Source organism: Homo sapiens, chromosome 10, assembly GCF_000001405.40.
Source record: "Homo sapiens chromosome 10, GRCh38.p14 Primary Assembly".
Classification (NCBI taxonomy): Eukaryota; Metazoa; Chordata; class Mammalia; order Primates; family Hominidae; genus Homo; species Homo sapiens.
The window spans coordinates 17,214,239-17,237,971 of NC_000010.11; the positions used below are offsets into that span (position 1 = coordinate 17,214,239).

At 42.8% G+C, this 23,733-nt stretch overlaps 1 protein-coding gene and 1 long non-coding RNA gene across 3 annotated transcripts, besides 3 other annotated features; one reads left to right on the top strand and one right to left on the bottom strand.

Annotated features, from left to right (window-relative positions):
* On the bottom strand, window positions 1-15,747 carry VIM-AS1 (VIM antisense RNA 1). 2 transcript variants are annotated; one of them, NR_108060.1, is made up of 4 exons: window positions 12,618-12,660; window positions 3,364-3,437; window positions 1,929-2,036; window positions 1-1,126 (listed from the first exon to the last, which is right to left on the bottom strand). It is a non-coding gene; the product is annotated as a VIM antisense RNA 1 (long non-coding RNA). The 2 variants fall into 2 exon arrangements; NR_108061.1 differs by lacking the exons at window positions 3,364-3,437; window positions 12,618-12,660 and adding an exon at window positions 15,107-15,747.
* Window positions 12,482-12,696: a silencer, noted in NCBI's record as "fragment chr10:17268719-17268933 (GRCh37/hg19 assembly coordinates)". NCBI's record gives its function as "represses an EF-1alpha promoter that drives an FKBP-Casp9 reporter gene in an ReSE screen in K562 erythroleukemia cells {active_cell/tissue: K562}" and the evidence as "EXISTENCE:reporter gene assay evidence [ECO:0000049][PMID:32094911]".
* VIM (vimentin) lies at window positions 14,003-23,355 on the top strand. Its single transcript, NM_003380.5, has 10 exons — window positions 14,003-14,286; window positions 15,038-15,747; window positions 16,412-16,472; window positions 19,349-19,444; window positions 19,532-19,693; window positions 20,455-20,580; window positions 20,931-21,151; window positions 21,608-21,651; window positions 22,056-22,141; window positions 22,992-23,355. Exons 2-10 carry the CDS (start codon window positions 15,185-15,187, stop codon window positions 23,031-23,033), a joined length of 1,401 nt encoding a protein of 466 aa, NP_003371.2. The 5' UTR covers window positions 14,003-14,286; window positions 15,038-15,184; the 3' UTR covers window positions 23,034-23,355.
* Window positions 15,332-15,421: an enhancer, noted in NCBI's record as "active region_3108". NCBI's record gives its function as "activates an Ori minimal core promoter by ATAC-STARR-seq in GM12878 lymphoblastoid cells {active_cell/tissue: GM12878}" and the evidence as "EXISTENCE:reporter gene assay evidence [ECO:0000049][PMID:35858748]".
* Window positions 15,732-15,911: a silencer, noted in NCBI's record as "silent region_2182". NCBI's record gives its function as "represses an Ori minimal core promoter by ATAC-STARR-seq in GM12878 lymphoblastoid cells {active_cell/tissue: GM12878}" and the evidence as "EXISTENCE:reporter gene assay evidence [ECO:0000049][PMID:35858748]".

Genomic DNA, 23,733 nt, shown 5'->3' on the forward strand with positions numbered 1-23,733 from the left:
TAGCATATCCAAAAATGGTATTGCTTTATTTTTTAAAAATATATTTCTTTTTTGAAATATCAATCGAATCAATTTTATTCTCACAACAATCCTGAGTAAATATTTTTAAAAAATATATTTTTTGAGGAAACAGATTAAAAGCTTTAAAAAATGTGATTCACTGAAAATCAAATAGTGAATACATGATAGAGTCAGCACTAAAAAGGCAGATATATCAAAGAGAGACTGAAATAAGCAACTCATTTTTTGCATCGACTTCGAAACACCTCTTTACCATCAGTGTTTGTAATAATCATTCTTGATCTTTATACTTCACATTTCTTGGTAATCCAAATGCTTCATAAATTCTCTTACACATCCTGAATCTCTTGCTTCATTCAGCGAGATAATTCCTGGTGAGCAGGAATGCATATGGTTTTCAGATGTAGAAACTGGGATCTCCAGAGACAAACAAGTTGGCCATGGCAATGGGATACAATAATCTTATAGGATTTTACAAACCTGATTTGAAGTTTTGTCCTAATATGGAAAGGTATGCCTTTTCTCACTAGAGAGATTATTCTAGAATTTTAGAGCCATACCAACATATTTCACGGTAACCTAGTGATCTGGATTGCCCCTCTCTGAGAAAGCAAAGATTCTGCAAGCAATTAGTCCTTCAAATCAAATTCCTGGCTTTTACAAACTGCTTCTCTTTTGAATTCCAAAAGTTAACTAATTCTTTTCTATCTATTCTTCATTTCCTCATAAGCGAACACTCACCAGTTTCCCCATTTTCCAACCCTATGGTTTTCTTATTCTACGTGGCCACAGACAGGAACAATTCACTAGCACAGTGGTTCTCAGAATCACCTGGTAAGTCTTGTAAAAACACAAATTGCTGGGCCCCACGTACTCCCAGAGTTTCACATTCAGTTGGTCTAAAGTGGGGCCTAACAGTTGGAATTTCTAACAAATTATCCGGTGATGCTGATGCTACAGGTCTGAGTAGCACATTTGGAAAATCACTTCACTAGTACACCCCCGACGTGTTGTCCTGATGGATCCTTCCAAAAAATTGTTCAGATGCCAAGGCTTGTGAATCGCACACATGGTACTCAATGCCTGGGCCTCACATCGAAGGCTTCTATATTGAGAAGAAAAGAAATATTTGTCATGACTCATTGCCTTTTTCAAGCTGTTCCAGCTACAAAATTAAAACCAGAAAAGGACTCAATTGAAAGCAAAATAAAAACAGCTCAAGTAACACTGTCCAAATTTTGAGACTTATGGCATGATTTCTGGAATTAGGACAAAAGGTATACTAGTGATTCAGGTAAATCCTTGGCTGACCACACTGGAAGCTGGCATCTCCAAGGCTCCCGACAAACCCTGGAACCCAAGCCAAGTTGCTCCTGCACTACCCCAGAAGCCAGCTCAGGTCCTTGGCTTGTGGCTTGCTTTTTCTGTCAACAGTAAGTTCTTCCATAAAGCTCTCCAAACACATTAGCAACCTATAACTCTTTTAATTAACTAATTTTTCTACAACTTCTCAGCTATTTTTAACACAGAAAAAAATGTCAATTGTCAAGAAATAAATGCTGTTGGGCCATCAAGCAGGTAGGCTGTAAATCTGAACCGAGAACCTAGCCAATGAATTTCCTTAGGATTTCTTCCTTTTGTAATAGCAACACTCAGTGGAGATTTTAATTCCATTTTTCATATATTTGGGGAAAAAATACGGCATTTTATGTCATAGCATAAAATTCTTCAGCATTCCATTTTAGTTATTAAATAATGACTAGTATTTGAAACAGCACTGTTACATTAAGTAAAAAAAAATTGGCAAGAAATGTCAACTTAGACATTTAATAAGATAATAGTTCTGCTTAGAAAATGAGGTGTTAGTTCTGCCTTTAACGTATCAACATATTGTAGGAAATACTGACCTTTTATTCTGATCACCACGAGTCCATTAAATTTCAAAATGTGGGACAGCCAATACATAATATACTACTAAGTAATAAATCTATGTCATCCAAAGGGAGCTTTGCTGTCTGAGTCCAAAAAAAAAGAAAACAGAAGCATAATGGTAAGGTTACTGAACACTCAGGTCTTGAAATAAGTCATTCTGTTATGAGCATGAGTCACCAAAACTACTTCCTTAGTGATAAAAGTTGCCTAAGTAACATCAATGCCTCCCTATGCTAAGAAGGATATGGGCAGTGTGTTGGGTTTCAGACCCACTAGTCATAGTCATTTCCTTTACTTAATTGCTAACTGCCCTTCCTGGCTGTAGTTTGGGGCCTGTGTTTTAGGTAGTAACCCAGCAACTAGTTATTATGCTATATTTTATCAAGGAGAACAAAACAGTAAATTTTGTATTTCCATGGATTTCAGAGTAAAAGTCAATGTTATTTCACCAAGGCCCTCTGACTTAAGGGAGTTATTGTGAAACTGTTCAACTAGGTCTCAATGTGGCCACATCATTATGCAAGACTCAAAGGCAAAATATTTAACAGAGAAAAGAGGAGCAGATTGGGAGCCCTCTGAGAGGAAGGGAGGGGTGGTATTCATTTCTGCGTCCTTAGCACCTAGCAGGGAGCCTGCTCACCTAAAGATTCAAAACGCAGGCCGCGCAGGCGCAGTGGCTGATGCCTGTAATCCCAGCACTTTGGGTAGGCCAAGGAGGGGTCACTTGAGCTCGGGAGCTTGCGACTAGCCTGACAACACGGCAAAACCCTGTCTCTACAAAATATATTTTAAGAAAATTATCTGGGCATGGTGGCATGTGCCTGTAGTCCCAGCTGCTCAAGAGGCTGAGGTAAGAGGATTGCCTGAGCCCAGGAGGTCGAGGCTACAGTGAGCTGTGATGGAGTCACTGTATTCTAGCCTGGGTGGTATTGCAAGCTCCTGTCTCAGAAAAAAAAAAAAGACTCAAAATACATCCACCAAATGGGGTTTGCTGCTTCTTTTCAAAATAATCCAATCTATGAAGTAATTGCGCCACTGCTGAGTTAGGATTTCATCAGGCTTTGCTGTTATTGATGTTGTTGTTGCTGTTGAGATGGAGTTTTGCTCTTGTTGCCCAGGCTGGAGTGCAGTGGTGTGACCTCAGCTCACTGCAACCTCCACCTTCTGGTTTCAAGTGACTCTCCTGCCTCAGCCTCCCGAGTAACTGGGATTACAGGTGCCTGCCACCACGCCCTGCTAATTTTTGTATTTTTAGTAGAGACGGGGTTTCACCATGTTGGCCAGGCTGGTCTCGAACACCTGACCTCATGATCCTCTCACCTCGGCCTCCCAAAGTGCTGCGATTACAGGCATGAGCCATTCATCAGACTTGTTAACACATATATGCCTTTGTTTTTCCCTTATATTTACCATGGGACTGTGGTATTTGCTGCTGTTCCCCTTGCAGACATCTGAAGTATATTAAGCATGCTCTATTTTAAAATCTGACATACAAAAGCAATGAGATTAGTATTGCATGAGAAAATTTAAAAACTGGATAGTAAGCACACATGTATTATCAGTATCGCTGTTGGGTTTGGCCTTGAGAATCTTGGTTGCCTATAATTCCCTGAGCCTCCTCTCATTTCCAAAAACTCCCCCATAATTCTTGGATTGCACAATAGTACTACCATGAAGGACTAAAATGTTAATAAATCTCCCTAAAAATCAAACTAATAGATGGTAAGTATAGGGAGAAGTTGTTTTTAACTGATATAAGTATTGCATTCCAAAAATGTGGTTTTATTTCTTTTCTACTAGCAAATGGGGCAAAGCATTTTTATTCACTTAATCATATGCAAGATTCAAATGCCATAATTATCCATTCATTCTGGTGGGTTGAGTCAGAATTAAGAAATGAGATCTCCACAGAAAACCCCTAAAACTGTCTATGGACTTCTTGATGATTCATTAAGGGCACCATATTCTCTGAATCAAAATGGGTCCTGTTGCTGCATCAGAATAGGAAAAAAGTAGACCAAAGAGACAAACATCATGATAACAATGCCAAAGAGATTTGGGGACATCTCCAATGGTAGCACAAAATTACTATGGCATATAAAGTACTACAGCACGGTGAGGTTTAGAGTTCGGGGACTGGAGCCAGAAGTCCTGTGTTCAGGTCTGCCACTTCTTGGCTAGATAAACTTGAGTAAGCTACTTACCTTCTCTGTGCCTCAGTTTCTTCATATGTCAAACCGGGCTGTCGTGAGGATTAAATAAGTTAACCCATGGGCAGTACATAATGATTGCTTTCATATGTCATAGGCACTCAATATATGAAAGCAATCATTACGGTTATCATTAGCCTTTCTATCCAGGTCAGACTCCAGTTTTAGCAATCATATCAAAGTGTGCCTGGTGATGATTGTTTGGGGTTCGCTCAAGGACCTAGTATTGGTCAAGGACTGTGAAAGCTAGCCTAGAGTTAGCAAAGGAAAAACCCTGGCCTGGTGTGGTGGCTCACGCCCGTAATTACAAAACTTTGGGAGGCTGAGGTGGGTGGATCACTGGAGGTTAGGAGTTCGAGACCAGCCTGGCCAACATGGTGAAACCTCATCTCTACTAAAAATACAACATTAGCCGGGCGTAGTGGTGGGCACTTGTAATCCCAGCTATTTGGGAGGCTGAGGCAGGAGAATCGCCTGAACTTGGGAGGCAGAGGTTGGAGCTGAGATAGTGCCACTGCACTCCAGCCTGGGCAACAGAGTGAGACTCTGTCTTAAAAAAAGAAAAAGAAAAACCCTGATCAAACACATAAATATCTCTGCAGCGTATTCTATCACACCTGTCTGAAGTTCTAGAGATGCCATTCAAGTAAATTACAATATTGTATCGGAAAAACTTCTCATAATTTATGTCTCAAACAACATGTACTTAATCTATATTAAGCTTGAGTACCACAGAATTTTTTTGTCCATATGCCACATATCCATATGAGTCACATTAGAGAACATATTTCTAGTACTTAGCTAATTAGAAATACAAAACCTTATTCAGTGGTTTGGAAATCGTCATGGTAGAATTACAAAGAGGGCTGCCAAATCCTTTATTCTGCTAGTTAACTCTGAATGGTCTTTCTTTACTTATATCTCATTGTAATGTTAATGAATTTTCTTATCTTTTCATCCTTGCATATTGTCATTATGTCATTTTATATTTCCTTCCATTTGCTACATGGCTTCATTTAGGGTTACTTTGTGTTATTTTTTTTCTAGAATTTGTCTTTGATTTTCATTTCCAACCTCTGCAAATCACACTGATCTTTGTCACTATACACAAAAACCAAAGCTTGAGAGGTTTATTTTAAACTCTGAGTTTATCAAACATATTCACAATTAAATATAATATTTAATATACTGAAGAAAATCATTTCACTGGCTGAGTGAATGTGATATGCCAGAGTTAAAGTATCTCCCAATTGTCCATTTTTGAAAATATCAGTCAATTCATTAATCAGTTTTGAAATACATAAGATGGAGTTCCATTATATTTTGCAGATTTAGAGGAAAGAGATTATGACTATATAGATGGTCAATAATCCCCTTCCAATGTCGCAGGTTACCATAAAGGCAAATAAAAATTTACATTATAAATTTATCTGTTCTTTAAAAGAAAATTAATAAACTGATATGCACATCAATAGGAGACTGGCTAAGGAAAATGTGGTACATATACACCATGGAATACAATGCAACCATGAAAAAGAACATCAGCCAGGCACGGTGGCTCACGCCTGTAATCCCAGCACTTTGGGAGGCCAAGGTGGGCAGATCACCTGAGGTCAGGAGTTCGAGACCAGCCTGGCCAATATGATGAAACCCCGTCTCTACTAAAACACAAAAATTAGCCAGGCATGGTGGCATGCACCTCTAATCCCAGCTACTTGGGAGGCTGAGGCAGGAGAATTGCTTGAACCTGGGAGGCAGAGGTTGCAGTCAGCCAAGATCGTGCCACTGTACTCCAACCTGGGAGACAGTGAGACTCTGTCTCAAAAAAAAAAAAAAAAAAAGAGATCATGTCCTTTGCAGGAACATGGATGCAGCTGGAGACCATCATCCTTAGCAAACTAATGCAGGAACAGAAAAGCAAATACTGCATGTTGTCACTTATAAGTGGGAGGTAAGATGAGAACACATGGACACAAAGAGGGGAACAATAGACACTGGGGCCTACTTGAGGGTGGAGGGTGGGAGGAGGGAGAAGATAAGAAAAAATAACTATTGGATACTAAGCTTAATACCTGAGTGATGAAATCAGCCATACAACAAACCCACATGACACGAATTTACCTACATAACAAACCTGCACATGTACCCTTGAACCTAAAATAAAAGTTAAAAAAGAAAATTGTGCTATTAAACAAAATTATTATTAGGTCCCTTACCTAAATATCTTGAGAAAAAAAATTCTACCACTGGGGAACTACATGACCTCCTCAAAGTAGGCAGAGTAAATTCCCAAGACGCCAATTGCACTTGGCAAATTTTCTAGCTGTGGCATAATCTTTTTCTGTCTACAAAAAAAAAAAAAAAAAAAAAAAAAAAAGGAAAAACAACATTATAGGCCACTGGGCAAATACCTGCTAGTTTTCTTATGGTAGTCTAACTCAGCCAGTAACTAAACTGGGATGATGTCATTCAGGGCTCTTTCAAGTGACATGAGGTTTTTATAACTGGATTGATGGGTTTTTTGTTTGTTTTTGGTTGTTACTGTTTTTTGATCAAGTGAACTAATACTGAAAATCTGGCTTTAATTCTTTGTCCAACATCAGCTGGAACTTATTTTTGCACTAGATTTCTCCTCCATTTGTTAATTAAACTCTTGTGTTCCCCCTACATACTTACCACCTTCTCTTTCCTCTGTCATAGACTGTGAATTAGACATTGATGAAGTTAAAAAATCACTTATAGTCTACAGGGAATTGTTAGCTATGTTTTCCCCCTCAAATGTTCAAAGATACCTCCCAGAAAGTGTCTTTAAGGTTTTTCTTTCCCTTCTGATGTTTTAAACACTGTTTTAGAGAATCGTGATGTTCATGATTTTATACTAGCTATGGGAACAAGACTAACACACTCAAAGCAGCTAAATGACAATAAAAGACCATCTACTTTATTCCTTTAAGGGAAGAGATTAGAAGTGCTTAGAAATGCTGTAGACCCTGGGCTATGGTCTGATAGTGGTCGGTGGGTATTAGATTCTTGTAGGAGCGTGAACCCCACTGTGAACTGTGCATACCAGGGATCCAGGTTGTGCGCTCTTTACGAGAACATAACGCCTGATGATCCGTCATTGTCTCCCATCATCCCCAGATGGGACCATATAGTTGCAGGAAAACCAGCTCAGGGCTCCCACTGATTTTACATTATGGTGAGTTGTATAATTATTTCATTATATATTACAATGTAATAATAATAGAAATGTTTGAATCATCCTGAAACCATCCCCCTGCCTGGTCCATGGAAAAATTGTCTTCCATGGAATCGGTCCCTGGTGCCAAAAAGGCTGGAGACCACTGCTGCATAATGTAAAACCACACTATCCAATTATAGCTCACCTTCATGAGACTATAATTTATATAGACTAGAGAAGGGAAGATATTTCCAGGTTAAGGGACCTGAATTAACCGTCTTTCAACTCAAATTAACTTTCCAACTAATTATTTCTGTCTGGAATGCATCTATTCTTTCTTTTTTCTTCTTTTTTTTTTTTTTTTTTTTTTTGAGATGGAGCCTCATTCTGTCGCCAGGCTGGAGTACAGGGGCACAATCTCGGCTCACTGCAACCTCCGCCTCCTGGGTTCAAGTGATTCTCCTGCTCCAACCTCCCTAGTAGCTGGGACTACAGGCGGGCACCACCAGGCCCAGCTAATTTTTGTATTTTTAGTAGAGACAGGGTTTCACGATGTTAACCAGGATGGTCTCCATCTCTTGAACTCATGATCCACCCGCCTGGGTCTCCCAAAGTGCTGGGATTACAGGCGTGAGCCACTGCGCCCAGCCGCATCTATTCTTTTAATTATCCTGTTCACAAGGCTCAGAGCCCACTCGATTTTTCTTATCCCCTAGCCCTTAAACATCACAATTCCTTAAATCATCTCCGCGTCAGGCTCCCTTTACCATCCACTTGATCTACCTCAAGCAGACCTCAAATCAGCCTCATTCTCCACCCCTAAAATACAGCTACAAGCATGTCTTTCTCCTAGTTGAAATTCACAATGCATTCCCTCTGCCCACCACATTAATTATCAACTCCTTTTCCTGGCATTTACTCATCCAACGCATGGCCCCACGTTAACTTTCAGTTCCCTTTCTCCCCTACAAATACTCCATAATCCAGCAACCCTGGGATTATTCCTGTTCCCTAAATGTCCTCAGCACTCTGCCACCCACCCAGTTTTTGCTTATACTGTTTGGTCAGCACTAGAGCAACCTTTCTTTGCCATGATAAGCTGTAGAAATTGTACTTATTCTTCAAATACTATCTTTTCTAATGACATTTTCTGTTCTCCCCCAAGTAGATAGGATCATTTTTTTTCTCAACAAAATTTAACTTATTTTTAGGTATAGTATTATAGTTTTTTTTTTTAATTTAGATTTAGGGGGTACATGTGCAAGTTTGTTACATAGGTATGTTGTGTGATACTGAGGTTTGGGCTTCTAATGATATCGTTGCCCAAATAGTGACCATAGTACTCGATAGGTGGTCTTTCAATCCTTGCCTCCTCCCTCCCTTCCCACTTTGGGAATCCCTAGTGTTTACTGTTTCCATCTTTGTGTCTGTGTATACTCAATGTTTAGCTCCCACTTAGAAGTGAGAACATGCAGTATTTCGTTTTCTGTTTCTGCATTAATTTGCTTAGGTTTATGGTTTCTACTTGTATCCGTGTTGCTACAAAGGACATGATTTCATTCTTTTTAATGCTTATGTAATATTCTACAGTGTATATGTACCATGTTTTCTTTATCCAATCCACTGTTAATGGGCACCTGAGTTGATTCCATGTCTTTGTTATTGTGAATAGCGCTGCAATGATTATTTCTCCACCTATGCTCTTTAGCATTTTATCCTATCTGTGCTACAGCACTCACTTACCACATTCTGCTATGTATTCCAACTCTTTACCTGCTTTCTAATCCTTATACAAAGCTATGAGATCCCTAGAGGCACAAAAAGCACCTTACTTACTGAAATATACTAAGAAACATTGCAGGCAGTGCAAAAAAATATGAATACATCTATCTGTTAAATGGAATATGAGGAAAGACCTGAGGGTGGGGGAAATGTACTATATTCATGGAAGAAGAAGGAGCTTAGGGTTCTACTGAAATTGCTGCTTGTGGGGAACAGTGGAAAATGAGGATAGATATATATACTTGACATAACTTCCAAAGGCCACTAGTTAACTATGATCCTCAACCTCCTCTGCAGGAAAATTTCTGTTTCCCTCATAGTCTTTATCACCAGTTGCAATCATTTTGTTTGTTCCTTTACGAGTATTGTCTCTCTGTATCATATACATATACGCAGACTCAACACTATGTTCCAAGAGGCTTTGGGCCATACCTGCTTTGGTCCCTTCCCCAGTGTCTACCAGACTGCCCGGCACATGGCAAATACTCAATAAGTATGTTTGGAGTAAAAGAATAAAAGTTGTGTATCACGATACCTTGTGAAGATTAAATGCAGTCATGTCTAAAGTGACTAGCACAATGCTTAAACATAATAAGCACCAGTAAATATTAGCCCCACACCTATATTTCTTCCTTCTATGAACTACTCATGTATTAATGTATATATTCGACAGATGTGCCTGGCTTTTCTCTAGCCACTGGAAATACAATAGTCAACAAAAGAGAGAAAAATTCCTACCTGCCCTTAGGGAGATTACATTCCAGTGAGGAAATGAGCAATTCCTGCCAAGAAGTTTAAAGAAGGAAGTTTTTGGCCAAATGTGGAGGCTCACACATTTAATCCCAACATTTTGGGAGGCCAGTGCTGGAGGATTGCTTGAGCCCAGGAGTTCAAGACCAGCTTGGGCAACATAGCAAGACCCTGGCTCTACAAAAAATAAAAAGTTAGCTGGGCATGGATGGCACTCCCAGCTTCTAGGGAGGCTGAGGCAGTAGGAATACTTGAGCTCAAGAGTTAAGAGGCTGCAGTGAGCTATGACTGCGCCACCGCACTCCAGCCTAGGCAACAGAGCAAGCCTTTGTCTCTCTCTCTCTCTCTCTCTCTCTCTATATATATATATATAAGTTTTAAAGAAAAAGGGGTGATGGCTTGAAGATAGATGCATTGGTGGCAGAAAAGAAAGCATGGAGGGGCCGGGCGCAGCGGCTCACACCTGTAATCCCAGCACTTCGGGAGGCCAAGGCGGGTGGATCACGAGGTCAGGAGATTGAGACCATCCTGGCTAACACGGTGAAACCCCGTCTCTACTAAAAAAATACAAAAACTTAGCCGGGCTTGGTGGCGGGCGCCTTTGGTCCCAGCTACTGGGAAGGCTGAGGCAGGAGAATGGCGTGAACCTGGGAAGCGGAGCTTGCAGTGAGCCGAGATCGCGCCACTGCACTGCAGCCCCGGGGGACAGAGCGAGACCCCGTCTCAAAAAAAAAAAAAAAAAGAAAAGAAAGAAAGCAAGAAAGCATGGAGGAACGGAAGCCAATTGCAGTATTGCAGGAAGGAGGTATGAAATGGCTTGGATCTGAGTGACAGCAACGTAACAGAGGAGTGGATCCAGGAAGAGCGGGGCATGATACCCATTGGATCTGAGATGGAAGAGTTAGTTAGGAAGTGGCAATGATGAAAGTTTCCAATCTTGTTGTTTTGCTGTATTGCCCTGAATAGACAGGGAAGCTGGCAGGGGAAGCGATGGTGGTTCATGGGCTTTAGGGCGTGAGACGAGCTAAACCCAGTCTTGAATGTGATTCCTCCTAAGAGGCAAAATGGAATCTAAATGAAAATTTTTAACTCACTAATGAAAGTAATGTTTTAGAATGCAGGTGAAAACAAATCTCCCTTCTTACATAGTATGATCACTGTTACGTCATTTGATTTTGTTTTTTACATCATTTTACATCGTAAACATGGTGTTATAGCTGTCTGCCAAATTCCTCTAAAAATATGCCCCTTCGCAGCAAGATCTGTGTTAATCATCCCATCTCTTCAGTTCCTGGAACACAGTAGGTCCCTAAATGATAAGTCCAGCACTTAATATTTGTGAATTGAACTGGTTGATAGTAAGCAAAATTTTGTTATCAAGGCAAACAGAAAAGAGAAGTGCATTTAGAGTCAGAAAGGCCTCGATTCAAATTCTTGTCCCCTTCTTCCCACCCCTGCTAGTCATACAACCACAAGAAAATTGCTAGCCTGCATCTTAGGCTCCTCATTAGTGAAATGGATGATCAAGTCTATCTTGCAGGAGGGTGTGAGTGCATCAAGTTAAATTAAATATATACACAGTGTCTGTCATTCAGTTGGCATCGACATTACCTATTATACTATTTATTATTATTACCTGTATTTCCATGGATTTTAGGTTTTGCTATGGTTTTCATGCTCTCAGTGTACCCTCCTTCTTCTTTCTAACATTCCATCCAAACAGTCCTGCTAGATGCTGTTCTCTTGGCATGGCTAGCCAGCTTTCCCAAAGCCTCCATAGGCCACTAAGCTTCTGTCCACACGGCTGGCTGGTCCGTCAGTTTAAGTCACCCAATTCAACTGACATCATGACAGCTTGCAAATTCCAAAATCACTGTTGGTAATTTAGATGTGGTAGTGTTTATGCCTGGCCTATGAATTATACCACCACGTCTTTATTTATATGCAACTTGCATCATGCTGTGTTGAAAGCAGCTTCCCAGTCCAGCACTTGAAAATACTTCTCAGATAGGTTTTCATAGCAATTAAAAAATAAACACAAAACCCGGGAAAGCTATGTCTGTGTACCCAAAAGATACCTAAGAACACAGTAGCATAGAGAGCAGGCTGAGTTGTCTCACTCAAGGATGTGAGTTCAGATTCATTGATCTCCCTGACTGAAAACTATCACCCATTGATTGAGGCACTGTATATCTTATCTCAGAATGAAATGAATTCTTAAGTCTCATGAATTCTACATGAATGAATGAAAGTGTTTCTGCAACTTTCACTTCTCTTGCAGCCCACCAAAAACAATGGCATTTTCTAATAGGAAAAACACATTGAACGCTGTATATGTGCGTATGTATATGTGTGTGTAGTACATACATATACTTTATTTTGAGACAGGTTCTCACTCTGTTGCACAGGGTGGAGTGCAGTGGTGTGCACAGCCTACTGCAGCCTCAATTTCCCAGGCTCAAGCAATCCCCCTGCCTTAGTCTCCCAAGTAGCTGGGACCACAGGTGTGCACCATCACGCCTGGCTTTTTTTGGTTTCATATATATATGTTGCCTAAGCTGGTCTCAAACTCCTGATCTCAAGCAATCCTCCTGCTTTGGCCTCCCAAAGTGCTGGGACTACAGAACACCTACACTTTTATACATTCTATATGCATCAAACAAACATATGTCTGTGACAAGAGAGCAGCCTATCACAGCCCAGAGACTTCAGAATGGGGACAGGTTGGAAGGAGGAGCTACCTATCCCTGAGATGATGAAGAGGACCAGTGCCCATTCCAGGAGACATCACCGCAGCCCTGAGGAATCGGCTATGGGCACCAGCAGGGCACAGTGCCACACCTCGCCAATGCCTTGTCCTCCTTTTCCATAGTGAGTCAGTCAGCAAGCGTCGCATTGCCCTGGGATCGGCACTGCACGTAGAAGTGAGTTCCACACTCTCTTCCTCCCATAGGGAGATCACTTTTCTCATTCTAAGGGTTCCAGGCACACTCACAATGGTGGCATTTGCTGAGCAGTGGCTTGAATAAAGGGCTCTCAGAAAGCAAGATGTAACTCAGAGCATAGGCTTGTCCTCCAGGGCACCCAGCCCCAGGAATGCTCTTGGGGAATGACCTGCAGCCTCCCAGTGAAAGAGAGAATAAAAGAAAGCCCCAGCAGGCGAGCTGGGCAGTAGAGAGTCCTGTAATTCCACCTTGGCAAGCACCATTTGCAAGAACGAACTGGGATAAGGTAAACAAAATATTGCCTAAAAGAGGCTTGTCCAAAGAAGTCAGAATACGCTCTTCATTTACCTCTAAATTATGTTTCTTAAATACCAAGTAACCTGCAGTACCCCCTGCCGCCACCAAAAAAAAAGAGAGAAATACTTTTTTTTCTCCTATCCACTGCAGAATCAATTTTACAGTGGTTCTGCAGTTAATCCTTTCAGTACACCATAAATCTAAATACTCAAAAAAACCTGTGCCTTTTCAATTGCTACTAAATCACGAGAAGACTGATTTACATAGTCTCCTTTTATCTCCCTTGGCGGGTAAGTACTCAGCTCTGCTCGTTACTAATATTGAAACAACAGCCCTTGAATTGAGTGATTTCCCTAGAAAGGTTAAGGTGACCGAATCTGAACACTCCCTCCATGTCTTGGACACGAAGTTTTTTGCTGCGTAGACAGTTTTATCCCCCTCACCCCAAGGTCAATTGCACGAATTCTTTTGGAAAACAGGACCTATGGCATTTCCCAGACAAATCACCGTGAACCCTGTACTGTGCATTGCTGTCCTAAAATTAACACATAAATCTATTGCCGCCAAAGATTCTGTCATTTGTGTTACATAATTGCCTTTCATTTGAACTCATTAATCAAATTGGGGTTTTTAAGCAACACCTAATTAATTCTTTAACTGGCTCATATTATACCTTTAATGACTTCCACCAGGGTAAAAACCACTGATCACTGAGTTCTATTTTGAAACTACGGACGTCGAGTTTCCTCTTTCACCCAGAATTTTCAGATCTTGTTTAAAAAGTTGGGTGTGGTTTCATGGGGGGAGGGGGAAGAGCGAGAGGAGACCAGAGGGACGGGGGCGGGGACTCTGCAAGAAAAACCTTCCCGGTGCAATCGTGATCTGGGAGGCCCACGTATGGCGCCTCTCCAAAGGCTGCAGAAGTTTCTTGCTAACAAAAAGTCCGCACATTCGAGCAAAGACAGGCTTTAGCGAGTTATTAAAAACTTAGGGGCGCTCTTGTCCCCCACAGGGCCCGACCGCACACAGCAAGGCGATGGCCCAGCTGTAAGTTGGTAGCACTGAGAACTAGCAGCGCGCGCGGAGCCCGCTGAGACTTGAATCAATCTGGTCTAACGGTTTCCCCTAAACCGCTAGGAGCCCTCAATCGGCGGGACAGCAGGGCGCGGTGAGTCACCGCCGGTGACTAAGCGACCCCACCCCTCTCCCTCGGGCTTTCCTCTGCCACCGCCGTCTCGCAACTCCCGCCGTCCGAAGCTGGACTGAGCCCGTTAGGTCCCTCGACAGAACCTCCCCTCCCCCCAACATCTCTCCGCCAAGGCAAGTCGATGGACAGAGGCGCGGGCCGGAGCAGCCCCCCTTTCCAAGCGGGCGGCGCGCGAGGCTGCGGCGAGGCCTGAGCCCTGCGTTCCTGCGCTGTGCGCGCCCCCACCCCGCGTTCCAATCTCAGGCGCTCTTTGTTTCTTTCTCCGCGACTTCAGATCTGAGGGATTCCTTACTCTTTCCTCTTCCCGCTCCTTTGCCCGCGGGTCTCCCCGCCTGACCGCAGCCCCGAGACCGCCGCGCACCTCCTCCCACGCCCCTTTGGCGTGGTGCCACCGGACCCCTCTGGTTCAGTCCCAGGCGGACCCCCCCCTCACCGCGCGACCCCGCCTTTTTCAGCACCCCAGGGTGAGCCCAGCTCAGACTATCATCCGGAAAGCCCCCAAAAGTCCCAGCCCAGCGCTGAAGTAACGGGACCATGCCCAGTCCCAGGCCCCGGAGCAGGAAGGCTCGAGGGCGCCCCCACCCCACCCGCCCACCCTCCCCGCTTCTCGCTAGGTCCCTATTGGCTGGCGCGCTCCGCGGCTGGGATGGCAGTGGGAGGGGACCCTCTTTCCTAACGGGGTTATAAAAACAGCGCCCTCGGCGGGGTCCAGTCCTCTGCCACTCTCGCTCCGAGGTCCCCGCGCCAGAGACGCAGCCGCGCTCCCACCACCCACACCCACCGCGCCCTCGTTCGCCTCTTCTCCGGGAGCCAGTCCGCGCCACCGCCGCCGCCCAGGCCATCGCCACCCTCCGCAGCCATGTCCACCAGGTCCGTGTCCTCGTCCTCCTACCGCAGGATGTTCGGCGGCCCGGGCACCGCGAGCCGGCCGAGCTCCAGCCGGAGCTACGTGACTACGTCCACCCGCACCTACAGCCTGGGCAGCGCGCTGCGCCCCAGCACCAGCCGCAGCCTCTACGCCTCGTCCCCGGGCGGCGTGTATGCCACGCGCTCCTCTGCCGTGCGCCTGCGGAGCAGCGTGCCCGGGGTGCGGCTCCTGCAGGACTCGGTGGACTTCTCGCTGGCCGACGCCATCAACACCGAGTTCAAGAACACCCGCACCAACGAGAAGGTGGAGCTGCAGGAGCTGAATGACCGCTTCGCCAACTACATCGACAAGGTGCGCTTCCTGGAGCAGCAGAATAAGATCCTGCTGGCCGAGCTCGAGCAGCTCAAGGGCCAAGGCAAGTCGCGCCTGGGGGACCTCTACGAGGAGGAGATGCGGGAGCTGCGCCGGCAGGTGGACCAGCTAACCAACGACAAAGCCCGCGTCGAGGTGGAGCGCGACAACCTGGCCGAGGACATCATGCGCCTCCGGGAGAAGTAAGGCTGCGCCCATGCAAGTAGCTGGGCCTCGGGAGGGGGCTGGAGGGAGAGGGGAACGCCCCCCCGGCCCCCGCGAGAGCTGCCACGCCCTTGGGGATGTGGCCGGGGGGAGGCCTGCCAGGGAGACAGCGGAGAGCGGGGCTGTGGCTGTGGTGGCGCAGCCCCGCCCAGAACCCAGACCTTGCAGTTCGCATTTCCTCCTCTGTCCCCACACATTGCCCAAGGACGCTCCGTTTCAAGTTACAGATTTCTTAAAACTACCACTTTGTGTGCAGTTGAAGGCCCTTGGGCACAATGAGAGCCAGTCCTCCAAACTTTCAGAAAGTTTCCTGCCCCTTCTGGCAGGCTGCCAATCACCGGGCGGGAGAAGGAAGGAGGGGAAGGCGGTGGAGGGAGCGAGACAAAGGGATGGTCCCTCGGGGGCGGGGATGGCGGGGCTGTCCTGTAGGTCTGTGCGGCCACCGTGATTGCCCCTCTGCGCGGTGCCCGAAGTCCCGCTGAAACCTGCCGAGGGCAGCAGGTCTGAAAGCTGCAGGCGCTAGTTGCGCGGAGGTGGCGCAGCTGCTCTGGAGGCGCAGAGCGAATACGTGGTGTTTGGGTGTGGCCGCCCCGCCCCTGGCGGTTTCCTCGTTCCCCTTTGGTTAATGCGCAACTGTTTCAGATTGCAGGAGGAGATGCTTCAGAGAGAGGAAGCCGAAAACACCCTGCAATCTTTCAGACAGGTTTGTAGACTCTCTTCCCACTCGCAGCCGCCTGACCCCACCCAACACAACCCACGAGCAATTCTAAAAGTTGCTTAACTCACGTCTAAAAAGTGCAAAACTTCAGGGCTGCGCGTAAAGCCCTCTAGTGGCGGGAAGACCACAGGTTGGAGCTTCTCATGATTAGAAAAATATTAATAAAACCCCTTGAGCGATTTTTTTTTTTTTTTTGAGACGGAGTCTTACTCTGTCGCCCAGGCTGGAGTGCAGTGGCGAGATCTTGGCTCACTGCATCCTCCGCCTCCCGGGTTCAAGCGATCCTTGAATGATTTCTAAGCAGTTCCTTGGGACATAAAGAAAAATCTTTTAACTTTTTACTTTGTTTCCCAAATGTTGCACAGTTTTGCAACACATTGACCTTCTGGTTTCGAACGGTTACAATTTTAGATTGTGGTTTGCCAAAGTCAAGTTGCTTAATTTTTACAAGGCCACAAAAAGCGCAATTATGCCCTGCAGTTTAAAATGGAAAACGTGTTGGAAGATAAGAAAACTTAGTTTCCAACTGGAATGGAGCCAGCAAGTTTCTTTTCTTCTTTGCAAATTCTATTGTGTCATTAAAGTTCGATGGAAGTATCACTATGCACAACTATTTTGTGATCTAATAAGGGTGAAAAGGAGCCATCTGTCCCCTTGGCTAAGGGGTATTAATGGTTTCTATGGGCTTCACTATGGAATGTAGATACAGACATTCTGGCAAATGTGGTGGCTCTGGACAGAAATAATAGGAGTCTTTGTATTCCCAGGGAAGCTTTGCAACAGGCTACATTCTTACTGAATATGTAATGATGTAAGCACGGTTCTAATTGGACACAAGTATTTGCTAACATCCGTTATCTAATATCTGGCCCAGACTTGAGAAGTAGGTAATGTAAAAAGTTTTTAAAGCTACAAGCATACCTCACATTTTAAAAGTCCTTTCTTGATTGGGTTCTTGTGTTCTTTAGCACTCTTGCCATAAAAAATAATAACAGTAATAAACCCAAGGCTGAAAAACTGAATTTTAACTAAAGGGTTTTTGTGCGTGTTTTTTTTTTTTTTCACCAAAATTAGATGGACTTACAGAATTTTTAACTTAAAATTGGAATCCAAAAGCCAGAAGATCCCCATTATAGTTTATAGTTGTATTCCCTGGAATATTTACTGGGATTAACTGCAAAGCACTCTCAGATGAATAGTGTAGTATAACATTTTGAAACTGAAATACATTTACCAAATTAATTTAACCACAGCAATGTGTGTGGTTCATTTTAGTCCTTGAGCATTTTTGATTATCATACCTGTCATGTTTTCTGCAGTGTAGTGAGTTAACATAAAACAACATCAATACAAAAGATCCTCTGTTTCGAGATTAAGCAAAATTCCTCATTCTCTTCAATGTGATAGAATACCACATTGATCTTTCTTTGGAGGTTAGTAAAATATCTTTTATGTATTTTTCAGGGCTTAACAAGTAAAAATCAATGTTTTCATCAAGTCTGATCTTTTTGTCACCCACTCTTCATTCATTTTTCCACTAAGGTGATAGAAAAGTCTCAACAGTTTAAGACCGTAAGGCTATGAACTCCAAATATAATTGCTGACAAGATAAGCAATCCTCACGCATCCTTTTGAGAGGAAATAAAATCTTAGTTGCAAGATTACATATTCTGATTTGGAATGCTGAGCTTTTTAAATGGAAATATAGAAGGACGGCTGAATCAGCAAAAATCCTTTATGTAGTTTCATTCTTTGCAAGCTTGACCAGTCATTCTGAAACAGGCTAACTGAACTGATACAGTGGCAAGTGAAAAAGACATGCCTTTACAGGATGAGTCAAAGGAGTTTTAGAAGAAAAATCCACCAGAGAAAGCCAAGCAAATACAGTTCAGAGTTACATTTCTTTTCCATTTTTTCCTGAACTGAATCTTTGGCATGCATATCCTGAATTGGGTTATTGAATATAAATCTAGCCTTGTACAATGGATGCCAGATGACTACATATTTGCTTTGGAGCCTAAGGATAAGTTTCAAAAGATTTGAGTGGAGAAGAAAAGCTAAAACTCTTGAAGCACAAGTTTCTGTTCTCCATGTACTCAAGTGTACATGAAGTTGTGAAAATTTGTCCACCTCTATCATCATGTTATTCCATGAAATTACAAAACAAATCTTAAAAATGTTGTGGCATAGATTTTCTAGATTTAAAAAGTAATTAAATTAAATGAATTACTTTATTTTTTGAGACAGAGTGTCACTCTGTTGCCCAGGCTGGAGTGCAGTGGCACTATGTTGGCTCACTGCAACCTCTGCCTCCTGGGTTGAAGAAATTCTCCTGCCTCAACCTCCCAAGTAGCTGGGACTACAGGCATGTGCCACCACACCCAGCTAATTTTTGTATTTTTGGTAGAGACGGGGTTTCGCCATGTTGGCTAGGCTGGTCTCGAACTCCTGACCTCAAGTGATCCACCCGTCTCAGCCTCCCAAAGTGCTGGGATTACAGGCATAAGCCACCATGACCAGCCTTAAAAAGTAATTTTAAAATATCACTGGTAAAATGTGGATTCAGTCATGATTGAGTGCAGTTTACCATGTGTGTGGACATTTATTTATTTTAAAATTGTCTGATCACCACCTTGAGTAAAACACAAGCAGTCACAATTAAAATATATTAGTGAGCAGGAGAAAGCACAGCATATTATAGCACTGAATGATTTATAAACCTATTCCAGGGTCATAAAATGTGTCAACGGCTTTTCTATAGTAAGGAGACTAGGTTCAGATGGTTAATCTAAGACAAATAAATGAGATAAGCCATACACTTTTACATCCTCCATGTCCTGTCTTTTCTCTGTTCAAAATAGGATGTTGACAATGCGTCTCTGGCACGTCTTGACCTTGAACGCAAAGTGGAATCTTTGCAAGAAGAGATTGCCTTTTTGAAGAAACTCCACGAAGAGGTTAGTGGAGTGACTTTCGGGGAATGAATGAGGGTAAGGCAGCCCCCACGGTTGGCAGAGCTGACCGTCTGTCTGTTCTTTTTGCAGGAAATCCAGGAGCTGCAGGCTCAGATTCAGGAACAGCATGTCCAAATCGATGTGGATGTTTCCAAGCCTGACCTCACGGCTGCCCTGCGTGACGTACGTCAGCAATATGAAAGTGTGGCTGCCAAGAACCTGCAGGAGGCAGAAGAATGGTACAAATCCAAGGTAGGAAACAAATCAGTGCGGCTTCAACCAAAGAAAAGCATTGTGTTCTCAAAACCCCATACCTGTGTGTGATTCCTAAATATCCTCTAGCTCCAATGCAAAGCTGGCTTTGACTTCTTGCTCATATTGTGTTTGCCACCACAGCCTCCCCACCACTCACATCACCTCCTTTATTTATTTATTTATTTTCTTATTTATTTATGAGACAGAGTCTTGCTCTACTGCCCAGGCTGGAGTGCAGTGGCAACATCTTGGCACACTGCAACCTCCGCCTCCCAGGTTCAAGTGATTCTCCTGCCTCAGCCCCCTAAGAGCTGGAACCACAGGCAAGCACCACCATGCCCGGCTAATTTTTGTATTTTTAGTAGAGATGGGGTTTCACCATGTTGACCAGGCTTCTCTCAAACTCCTGACCTCAGGTGATCCACCCTCCTCAGCCTCCCAAAATGTTGGGATTACAGGCATGCGCCACCACGCCTGGCCACATCACCTCCTTCAGAATAGCAGACTCTCTTCCCCCTAACCTTGCCTCCAAGTAAACCCCAATGCCATACCTTTGACCTCCACTGTGTTGAAATGAGCACTGTAGAGTGAACTCTGAAAATACTAATGTCAGTACTCCACTGCTCTTTCCCTGGCTTTCAAAACAGAAATTTAAACCTATACTGGAAGACATTCAGTGAGAAATATGATTTTTTTTTTCTAAGAGAGTCAAAAGACTTGAATGTGAGCAATCTACATTTCTGTTTTCTTCCCAACAGTTTGCTGACCTCTCTGAGGCTGCCAACCGGAACAATGACGCCCTGCGCCAGGCAAAGCAGGAGTCCACTGAGTACCGGAGACAGGTGCAGTCCCTCACCTGTGAAGTGGATGCCCTTAAAGGAACCGTGAGTACCAACCCTGCAGTAAAAGAGGGAAAATAATGACCCATTCTGCTGACTAGGCTCATGATGATACCTGAACAAAATGTTGAGTGAGTAAAAATGTATATCATAATGCAAAGAAAATGAGTTATCAAGACAGACTCAAAAGGGACTTCATGGAACTCTTGAAGGTTTTAGCTTGCCTATATCATTGCTTCTAATATGAAGGACTTGGTACTCGCATTCTCCACCTAAAATTAGAGTGGTCGCCATTTGCCGCTAATGGAAATTATTGCAGAAGGTCTGTAAATGGTTCTGGGAACAGCTGGGTTTTTCTGAGAAATAACACCAGACATCTTTCTCACCCCCTGCAGAATGAGTCCCTGGAACGCCAGATGCGTGAAATGGAAGAGAACTTTGCCGTTGAAGCTGCTAACTACCAAGACACTATTGGCCGCCTGCAGGATGAGATTCAGAATATGAAGGAGGAAATGGCTCGTCACCTTCGTGAATACCAAGACCTGCTCAATGTTAAGATGGCCCTTGACATTGAGATTGCCACCTACAGGAAGCTGCTGGAAGGCGAGGAGAGCAGGTAGGGAACTCAGACTTGGATGCGTGAACTAATGGTGACCATTTGTTAGGCCCTGTGCCACTGGGCTCTAAGCAGTGTCACATTTAATCTTTAGAAAGTTTCTTTGAGGTAACTGCTTTCCACTTTTTGTAGAGGAGGAATTTGAATTGAGAGAGAGTAAGTGACTTGCTGAAAAAGGGTTAATCAACAGCAGAGCTGGGATTTGAACCCATAACTCTGTCAAAGCCTCCACTCCTAACTCCTGTTCATGCTCCTGTGGAGAAAATGCTTGTAGTAACATATTTTAAATGTACTAACAAGACCAGTCATGGGAAAATGTTTCTGAGACAAATCTCTAGTTTATGATTTAAAACAGTACGTTTTCTTACGTGACGAAAACAAAAAGTGTGTTAATTTGTTCCCAGTGGTTGAAGTTATTTGCCAACAATTTTACTGTTTCTCTTCATCTGTTTATAGGATTTCTCTGCCTCTTCCAAACTTTTCCTCCCTGAACCTGAGGGGTAAGCATTTTATTTCCCTTTAGGAAAAACGTCAGCTGCTTGTAACCACTGTGTTTATGTCAAAGCATTCATTTTTTTTAGGATATCTGAAAAAATGCCATATAAGAGAAAACTCTATAAAACATCTATAATTTTCGAACCCAAGTACACTCTTGCATTCTATGCTTTAAGTTAAATGCAAACTCCTTTTTCCTTCTTCCTGCTGCAAGTACTATCTCATCCTGATGCTCAAGAGTGTCAGGGCCTGGGTTTCCAAACAGAGACTACCCTAAAATTATTTGGCGAGTAGTACTTTACACAATTGCCTCTCCCCCACAAATCATAATTGTTTCAGTAAAATGGTTACTTGGTTTTTCCAAGAAAAAACTCGTTTTTACTCATTTTTGGCCTGTTTGTTTATTTAGAAACTAATCTGGATTCACTCCCTCTGGTTGATACCCACTCAAAAAGGACACTTCTGATTAAGACGGTTGAAACTAGAGATGGACAGGTTGGTATCTTTTAAGGAAAAAATAGGGTAATCTCAGACAGGAGTTGATATATTTTAAAATCAGTGAATCTGAATCTCAGATACAGCTGGCTAATTTGAGAGGTTCAGGTTTCATTCATGCCTACTAAAAAAAGAATAGGCTTCTTCTTCCAGCAGTACACACAGCCAACTAATTATTTGGCTCCTGGATGTGAAGTTGAGATAGCAGTCTTCCTGTGCTCCAGAATTAGTGATTTGCTTTGGTGCTTAATTTGAAGTGGGAGTAAGCTTCCTTAAACCACTTCCTAAAGCAGCTACATGAAACAGCTTCACTAGACTACCTCAATATGAGGAATGTTTTGATCCTGGACATATGGTGTCTTCCTACCTCCATACTTTATAGATTCCTAAACCCATCTATATAATACAAGCATGTGCCATACGATCATTTAGTTTCTTATTACCTCCCTATGCCAGGAAAGAAATAGTTGCAATTTATTGTAGTCATCATGAAATCTTCCCTTGCACATAAATTTAAAATGTACCTGCTGCACATTTTAATATGTCTTAATTGCTTTTAAACTTGGCTGTATTGTGTACAACTATTATACCATCTTTTATAAACACAGTTTTTTAAGAAATTTCTTTTTGTAAGTTACAACATTCCACTGGATCCTTATATTGCCTGTAGTGGAAGAGGGTCTTGTGTGTCTGCCCCTTCTAGTTTTCACTCATGCAGAAGCAACATAACCTTCTGATTTGCACAATAAATTACATATATTTAGCAGGATTTTTATTTGCCGTGATATATAGGATAATTTAGTCTTTGGCATGTGGCATTATATTTATTTTGGTTTTTTTTTTTAAACAGGTTATCAACGAAACTTCTCAGCATCACGATGACCTTGAATAAAAATTGCACACACTCAGTGCAGCAATATATTACCAGCAAGAATAAAAAAGAAATCCATATCTTAAAGAAACAGCTTTCAAGTGCCTTTCTGCAGTTTTTCAGGAGCGCAAGATAGATTTGGAATAGGAATAAGCTCTAGTTCTTAACAACCGACACTCCTACAAGATTTAGAAAAAAGTTTACAACATAATCTAGTTTACAGAAAAATCTTGTGCTAGAATACTTTTTAAAAGGTATTTTGAATACCATTAAAACTGCTTTTTTTTTTCCAGCAAGTATCCAACCAACTTGGTTCTGCTTCAATAAATCTTTGGAAAAACTCTTTTGTTGTGTTATTTATTGGATAATATCTAAACAATTCTCTACTTGGTCCTATTAGTTAATTTGTCATTACAATCATGTAAGTTGATAAATTCAGGTTATTTATGCTTGAGATGTAGTTCTTAATTTTGTCATTTTTGATAGACCTCACTTCTTTTTATTATTACTTAAAAACATTTACAAATAGGTGGTGTCGAATAAAATAACTTGTACCAAAATGAAGATAGGTCTCTCTAAAATGAGCTCAGGTCTGTGATTTTAATCATAACAAACAGACTTCCTAAAATTAAAAAATAAAAACTTTTTTTAGTACATATAGCATATGAGTAACACAAATTCCACTTTGGGAGTTAAAGCATAGGAAGTTGCCAAGATATAG

Bases quoted from the DNA above. Each gene is read 5' to 3' on its own strand.
- VIM (NM_003380.5), top strand. From the start codon at position 15,185: ATGTCCACCAGGTCCGTGTCCTCGTCCTCCTACCGCAGGATGTTCGGC. The intron at 15,748-16,411 runs GTAAGGCTGCGC...CAACTGTTTCAG, and splicing joins ATCATGCGCCTCCGGGAGAA to ATTGCAGGAGGAGATGCTTC. The intron at 19,445-19,531 runs GTTAGTGGAGTG...TTCTTTTTGCAG, and splicing joins TGAAGAAACTCCACGAAGAG to GAAATCCAGGAGCTGCAGGC.